Genomic DNA, 8,443 nt, shown 5'->3' with positions numbered 1-8,443 from the left:
TGGCGGGTGCCTATAGTCCCAGCTACTCGGGAGGCTGAGGCAGGAGAATGGCGTACACCCAGGAGGTGGAGGTTGCAGTGAGCTGAGATCATGCCACTGCACTCCAGCCTGGGCGACAGAGTGAGACTCCATCTCAAAAAATATAATAATAATAATAATAAAAAGAGCTTAAATCAAACATTTAATCAGAAAAATAAAAAGTGTAATGCCTTTTGGTTCACATGACTTAAGTAATTTTTGGGAAATACAGACAGTTTTAAAGATTATTGGTAGATGGGTATGGTGGCTCACGCCTGTAATCCCAGCACTTTGGGAGGCTGAGGCAGGCAGATCACCTGAGGTTGGGAATTTGAGACCAGCCTGACCAACATGGACAAACCCTGTCTCTGCTGAAAATACAAAAAATTAGCCAGGCATAGTGGCGCATGCCTGTAATCCCAGCTACTCGGGAGGCTGAGGTAGAAGAATCAATTGAATCTGGGAGGTGGAGGTTGTGGTGAGCCGAGATTGTGCCATTGCTCTCCAGCCTGGGCAGCAAGAGCAAAACTCCGTCTCAAAAACAAACAAAAAAAGATTATTGGTAAAATAAAAGTGTCTTGAAAATTTAGACATTTGATCTAAATTAGGCAGGTCAGATATTAGGTTTGCTAAATGCTTTAAGGTCATAAATTGCTTCTTTGACTTTTAAAAATTGTTCAATTTACCTACTTTGGAGCATTAGATTCTAGAAAGGCTTGGGGACATGTGGATAACCATGCCCCCTGTGATGCTGGAAAGAGTCAGCCCTTACCTGCACTTCTGTCTGATGTCTTAGGCTTCACACCTAGTACATAAAAATGTAACATGTAATTGAGACTACTGAAGAAACAGTTTTACATGCAAGGTATATAAAGAAAGTGAAATGTGTTTTGGTAAAAGATTATAAGAAGTCATGGGAATTTTTTTTGGCTTTGCCTAAAGGATTAAAACATTAAGTTAGATAAGATAAAGCTGAAAGTTTAAGCAAGTTGTGGAAGGTTTGTGAAAAGTTAATCTTGTAAAAGAAATTCTGCATGTGAACATATTGGCTAAGGTTAAAGGGGTATTATTCGGTTTTTCTGTAAATTGAGCATTGGAATAAAAGCAGAACAGGTCTCTCTTAGAGCAGACCTACTCTTTAACAAAAATTGTAAAGGTTATAAAAAAAGATTTATGAGAATCTTAACCTTATGGTCAAACTTATTAACATGAAATACATTTGTCTATAAGGTTTTGTTAAGAATTGGGTTTAACGTCAATAATGCAACAGTGAAATTTGGCTTATTTGGTATAAAAATCATATAGGAAGCATTGTCAAATATGAAATGGTGTTTGGTTTTCTTTGTGCTGTATTTGTATAAATATGTAATTGGTATGTGTTCCAAAATTACAGGAAACTCTATAATTCTTGTACAACTTAGTGTATGTTATTAGTAGTTATAATTGTTAAGTAAATTGTTGTATGCCACAGAAATAACCAAAATTCCTAGTCAATTGTGGCTTTAATGGAGGCCCAAAGACCTTTTGTCATTCACAGACAATTGCTGTCTTGTTTCAATCCTCTTCAAAAGGTAGTTTTATAATCAACTATAGAACTCTTAACAGGTGCTCTTGAATGCAGATTTCTGATAACTTTGGAGACTGTGACATTAGAATAGAGAAAAAACATTCAGGACTCTCATGTACAGCTGAAATGTTCATGAATACCAAGCAGAACAGGAGTTAATAGCATGGAATAATCTTTCTGACTTTTTGGTTAAAACATTGCTGATCCTTTGTTTTATTTTTCAGAGTCAAGAAAACTTTTAAGCTATTTACAGCTTGTAGCAATTGAATAAAATATATCCCTGTGAACAAAATTTGGAACATACCTGATTTCTCCAAAATTTGGAAGCTATTTGTGAGTATTCTTAATTTATGGCAAAATAGTAATTTACACAAGTGCAATAAGAATCTGTTTTCTTTTGCAACAGGACACAATTTGATAAATTGATTATTTTACCAAGGCTTTGACTGGAATGGTGTGCTTTCCTTTAAGGAATCAAATTTGACTTATAAAGTCAATAAAAGCCCCTTGGGAAAACTGGCCTCATATCTTGTCTACACAGTCCATTTGCAGGGTTCCTGACCTGTGGTAAGTAAAGAATGTCACTTTCTTTTTTTTCCTTTTTTTTTTTTTTTTTTTTGAGACAGAGTCAAGTTCTGTTGCCCAGGCTGAAGTGCAGTGGTATGATCTCGGCTCACTGAAAATTCTGCCTCCTGGGTTCAAGCAGTTCTCCTACCTCAGCCTCCCAGGTAGGGGCTGGGATTACAGGCATGCACCATCACACCCGGCTAATTTTGTATTTTTAGTAGAGACAGGGTTTCACCATGTTAGCCAGGTTGTTCTTGAACTCCTGACCTCAGGTGATCCGTCTGCCTCAGCCTTATAAGCTTGTTGGCTGCTTCTGATTGGTTAAGTTCAACTTCTGTTTTTCTTTAATATAAGCATTTACAAGAAATAGCTTAAGTTCAGTTTTACTTATGTTTGTAAATCAAGCAAGGCTTAGATCATTTATGATGCCGAACTGGTTTTATCTGCTCGGGGATTCTTCAGGCCTGACCTCCATTTCAATTTAACACATACTAGATTCCCTTCTTCCTAAGGAGCTAGGGCTTTATTTTGTGGATTCTGGAGGAGAGGTAGGATGGAAGCTGAGTTTTAGTGAAACAACCTTGACAGGCATATAAAGGACCCCTAGTGTCTTCCTTGAGGCATGACAGCATGTAGCCACATGATCAATCTAAGACAGGCTGCAGAGGAATTCTGCCTCTCTAAAGTGATGGTGCCCAAGAAACAGGGATGGGCTTTACTGAAGGCTGCCTCAGCACCTGAGCCACCGGCCCCCCATGCTGCTCCTCCAGCCTCAGGTTTTTTTTTTTTTTTTTTGAGACAGAGTCTTGCTCTGTCACCCAGGCTGGAGTGCAGTGGTACGATCTTGGCTTACTGCAACCTCCATCTCCCTGGTTCAAGTGGCTCTCCTGCCTCAGCCTCCTGAGTTCCTGGGATTACAGGTGTGTGCCACCATGCCCGGCTAATTTTCATATTTTTAGTAGAGACAGGGTTCCTCCATGTTGGTCAGGCTGGTCTCGAACTCTTGACCTCCAGTAATTCACCTGTCTTGGCCTCCCAAAGTACTAGGATTACAGGCCACCACGCCTGATCCGGCCTCACCTTTTTATAGCAAGCCCCACTCTCAGCACCAACTGGTCTCCTTTGAGAAGTGGTGGTACACTCATATTTCCAGGACGGCCAGATGCAATTTGATGGTGGAAGTGAGACGATTGCAAAAAATCCAAAGGCCCCAGACTCCCTCCCCCATTTTGACTCCACTGCACCAAGTTCTGACCCCTAATTTGCCGAAGAGACTTCTGGCCACAGAGCATCACCAAAATGCAAGTCAAAGGGGCCAACCTAAGGTCTGAAGGTCTGCCAGGGAATTATATAGTACAGGGGTGGCCAGACTCCCAAATTATAGGGCTGCCAGGCTAGCTGGTGATTGGGGTGGATAAAAATAAGCCCTGGCCAAGGTTGGGAGGTGAAGGGGCATCTCCTCTTGGAGAACAGGGCTGGCTACAGACGTGGCCTTAGCAGGACATGGGTGGCAGGGTCACGCCTCTCCCTCTGTCCTGCGTCTCTGCCATTGACAGTCACTTGTCCACAGACAATCAAAGATAGAGGATATAACATGTTAACATTAGTTACTTCTCTTTTCTTCCATCTTTGGGGACTAATTAAAAAACATCTTGGGAAAATATTTTGGGGCCCATTTATAAAGCTTACAATATTGTGTTTTATTCTTAGTATCTTTACTTTTAAAATATGCCATTCCATCTTTGTGAAAATACCAGGAAAAAAAAAATTAAAGTGTGCTAGAAGGGCCAGGCATGGTGGCTCGCGCCTGTAGTCCTAGCATTTTAGGAGGTGGCAACAGAGGGAGACCCCCTCTCTACACGAAAAAACATTAACCAGATGTGGTGGCTCCTGTTTGTAGTTTGTACTTGGAAGGCTGAGGTAGGAGGATCGCTTGAGCCTGGGAGGTCGAGGCTGAGGTGAGCCGAGATCACGTCACTGCACTCTAGTCTGGGTGACAGAGATACCCTGTGTCTGAAACAAAACAAGTAGAATGTGCCAGAAGGGCAGAATTGTGTTCAGAGCTGGCTACCATTGTGTGAAATGGATTGGGAGAAATATATTACTATCTTTTTATATAGAAGCATGGATTATGCCCAGAAGAATTATATAGAAATTAATATGCTAGTTGCTTCCAGGAAGGGGAATTGGGTGACTGGGGCCAGAGGTGGGTAGAAAATATTTATGTTTTTCTTTTGCTTACTGAAGAGGGTCTCAAAAGACTCTCAAAAAGTTGACGGGGTGTCATGGAGGCATGCCTTGGACACAGCAATTTCATTTCTAGAAATTTGTCCTCAGAGATAACTGGTGAAGTGCACAAAGATGCACAAAGGGGCTGGGCATGGTGGCTCATGTCTGTATTCCCAGCACTTTGGGAGGCTGAGGTGGGAGGATTGCCCAAGGCCAGGAGTTCAAGACCAGCCTGGACAAGATAGTGAGACCCTGTCTCTATTAATAAATAAATAAGTAATAAAAAAAGAACTGCACAAAGTGTTTTACACGGTATTGTTTGTGTACTGAACTGGAACTATGAAAATAAATTATCTATGGAAAACTATGTAGCTATTAAAAAGGACAATGTAGATCTATAAACCTGGACCCTGAAAGACATCCATGTATTGCTGAGGGAAAATACGCACTATAAAGCCACATGAGCTGTATGGCTCCATTTGTGTGAAACCATGTGCATATGTCACATGGTCAATACCTGGGAAGATGATCACACAAGGGCAAGACTAACTTCTGGCTCCCAGGAGTGGCAGAGTCATTTATCTGCCATTGGCAGATGGACAAATCTGGCAATAACAATTACAGCTTTGGGGCCGGGTGCGGTGGCTCACACCTGTAATCCCAGCACTTTGGGAGCCCGAGGTGGGTGGATCACCTGAGGTCAGGAGTTTGAGACCAACCTGACCAACATGGAGAAACCCCATCTCTACTAAAAATACGAAAAATTAGCCGGGCATGGTGGTGCATGCCTGTAATCCCAGCTACTCAGAAGGCTGAGGCAGGAGAATTGCTTGAACCTGGGAGGCAGAGGTTGCAGTGAGCCAAAATCGCGCCATTGCACTCCAGCCTGGGCAACAAGAGTGAAACTCCATCTCAAAAACAACAACAACAACAAAAACAATTACAGCTCTGGATGCAATAGAAAAAAACAACCCTTTGAAGGCATTGGAGAACAGCACAGAGCAGGAGAGTGGAGTGGATGTGACTCTTGAAAGAAGGGGGTCGTGGGCTGACATCCATGTTTCTCCAGTTTTCCCTCTGGTATCCAGAGGATGAAAGCCACTGGACACTGGCTTCAGGGATCAGAGGTCAGAGTGTTACAGTAGATAGTTAGCGAGACATCAACAGGGCCCCCCAACACCAGGAATGTCAGGCAACCATCAGGTGATGGTCAGGCGGTTGTTAACTGTCTCTCTAAAATAATAAGTGGTTGCAGCCAGTGCCAGGGAAAGGCAGTCTCCTAATAGATAGAAACACCTGAAGCAGCTTCTGGGTAAGATCTCAGGAGTTAGGTGAGTGGGCTCCAGCATGCGCACTAAGAGGCAAAATGGTGGAGTTTAACTGGCATGTAACCTTCCTCTAGGAACACTCACTGGTAAGGGAAGAATGCCTCAAGTGAGCATGTGCCCAACTTCAGTACACACACTGAGCATGCTCCCTCCCAAGTGCTGTCATCCCACTGTGCATGCAGACAGCCCACCCCAAGGGAAGAATCAGGGGAGAAATAATGCAAAACCGCGGAAGCGTGCCAACATACAAAATCCCAAGTCAGAGGTTGAGCCGTGCACTTGACTCTCTCAAGTTGCCTGCTTGGCCCTCTTCCAAGTGTACTTTACTTCCTTTCATTCCTGCTCTAAAATTTTTTAATAAACTTTTGATCCTGCTCTAAAACATGCCTTGGTCTCTCACTCTGCCTTATGCCCTTTGGTTGAATTCTGTCTTCTGAGGAGGCAAGGATTGAGGTTGCTGCAGACCTGTGCAGATGACCATACAGATTCACTGCCTCTAAACTACTCTGGTGCCATGTGACTCAGAGACATCCCTAGTGGTAACAGGAGTTAAGGGCAGGTCCAGCAGCTAGGGATGGAGGGAGGAAATCCCAGCAGAGTAGGAGCCATGATTGGGGTTGGGGAGGGGGAGAGCAACATCTGCCTAAGAACACCCTAAGATTCTTTGCCAACTCCTGACCTGCACGTGTGCTGGGCGAGACTCTCAGGAGACCAGGGGAATTAAGAAGCCCATGGAAATCCTGGAATAGCCAGATACAATTCTGAAATAAAAAAATCTAGGCCGGGCGCGGTGGCTCACGCCTGTAATCCCAGCACTTTGGGAGGCCGAGGCGGGCCGATCACGAGGTCAGGAGATCGAGACCATCCCGGCTAAAACGGTGAAACCCCGTCTCTACTAAAAATACAAAAAATTAGCTGGGCGTAGTGGCGGGCGCCTGTAGTCCCAGCTACTTGGGAGGCTGAGGCAGGAGAATGGCGTGAACCCGGGAGGCGGAGCTTGCAGTGAGCCGAGATCCCACCACTGCACTCCAGCCTGGGCGACAGAGCGAGACTCCGTCTCAAAAAAAAAAAAAAAAAAAAAAAATCTACTGGGCTGGGCACAGTGGTTCACACCTGTAATCCCAGCACTTTGGGAGGCCAAGGCAAGCAGATCACCTAAGGTCAGGAGTTCGAGATCAGTCTGGCCAACATGGTGAAACCCTGTCTCTACTGAAAATACAAAAATTAGCCAGGCGTGGTGGTGCGTGCCTGTAATCCCAGCTACTCTGAAGGCTGAGGCAGGAGAATCGCTTGAACCCAGGAGGCAGAGGTTGCAGTGAGCCGAGATTGCACCCCTGCACTCCAGCCTGGGCAACAGAGCGAGACTCCGCCTCCAAAAAAAAAAAAAAAAAAAAAAACTATTGAAAGAGGGCTGGGCACAGTGGCTCATGCCTGTGACCTCAGTATAACTGTGAGAAGTTCATTGCCCAAAGCACACAGCATGTCAATACAAGACCCCAGGCTGCAGAAGAGAAAGAGGTTTAATCGTAGGGTCACCAAACAAAGAAATGGGAGAGAACCTCAAATCCATCTCCCTGAGGAGCCTGGGGCTAGGGTTCCTAAGGGTTTTGGAGTGGGCTGAAGTGTGGAGATCACTGATTGGTGGAAAAGTGCAGGGTGAAGTCATGGGACTGGGAGAGGAAGCAGCTGTATTCCCATGCTGATCCCATTCCTCTGTGGGAGTGTCCAAACTGGCTGCTGGAATTTGGCGTCTGAAAAACATCTGAAGTGATCCTTCAAGAAAAGCCTTATGATTCTTATGTCAGAGACCCTGTCTATGGGAACAATGGGGATGCAATCGGTCAGGATCTCATGCTGACTTCTAGAAACAAGGAAGTGGGCGAAAGTGTAGCCTGATTAATGCTTAATTGTAACTGTATTTCTGTCTAGAACCCAGCATGCAATGCTTGTCAACCCTTCACCAGCACTTTGGGAAGCCCAGGCAGGAGGATCACTTGAGCCCAGGAGGTTGAGGCTGCAGCGAGCTATGATTGCACCACTGCACTCCAGCCTGTGTGACAGAACACGACCCTGTCTCTAAGAAAATTTTAAAAATCTACTAAAAGAGGCCGGGCACGGTGGCTCATGCCTGTAATCCTAGCACTTTGGGAGGCCCAGGCGGGCGGATCACCTGAGGTCAGGAGCTCAAGACTGGCCTGACCAAAATGGCGAAACCCTGTCTCTACTGAAAATATGAAAAAATTAGCTGAGCGTGGTGATGGGCACCTGTAATCCCAGCTACTTGGGAGGCTGAGGCAGGAGAATCGTTTGAACCTGGGAGGCAGAGGTTGCAGAGAGCCAAGATCACACCACTGCTCTCCAGCCTGGGCAACAGAGTGAGATTCTGCCTCAAAATAAATAAATAAATAAATAAAAATCTACTAAAAGAAATTAATATTTTGTGCTTTTGTTATCTTTCACTTATAAATATTTTCTAATTTCCCTTGTGACTTTTTCCGTGGCCCAGAGAATATGTATTTAGAAGTCTTGCTTCCTTTGAGGGTGTTTCTGGATATCATATTGCTATTGATTTCTAAAAGAATTTTTTAAATTCCATTGGATCAAAGAACATACTCTGTATTGTTTCAATCCTGTTAAGTTTATTGAGACTCATTTTATGGTCCAACATACAGTTTGTCTTTTTTTTTTTTTTTTTTTTTGAGACAGGGTCTCACTCTGTCCCCCAGGCTGTCCC

This window comes from Homo sapiens, chromosome 10 (assembly GCF_000001405.40).
Source record: "Homo sapiens chromosome 10, GRCh38.p14 Primary Assembly".
Taxonomy (NCBI): Eukaryota; Metazoa; Chordata; class Mammalia; order Primates; family Hominidae; genus Homo; species Homo sapiens.
This window is presented reverse-complemented; position numbering follows the sequence as displayed.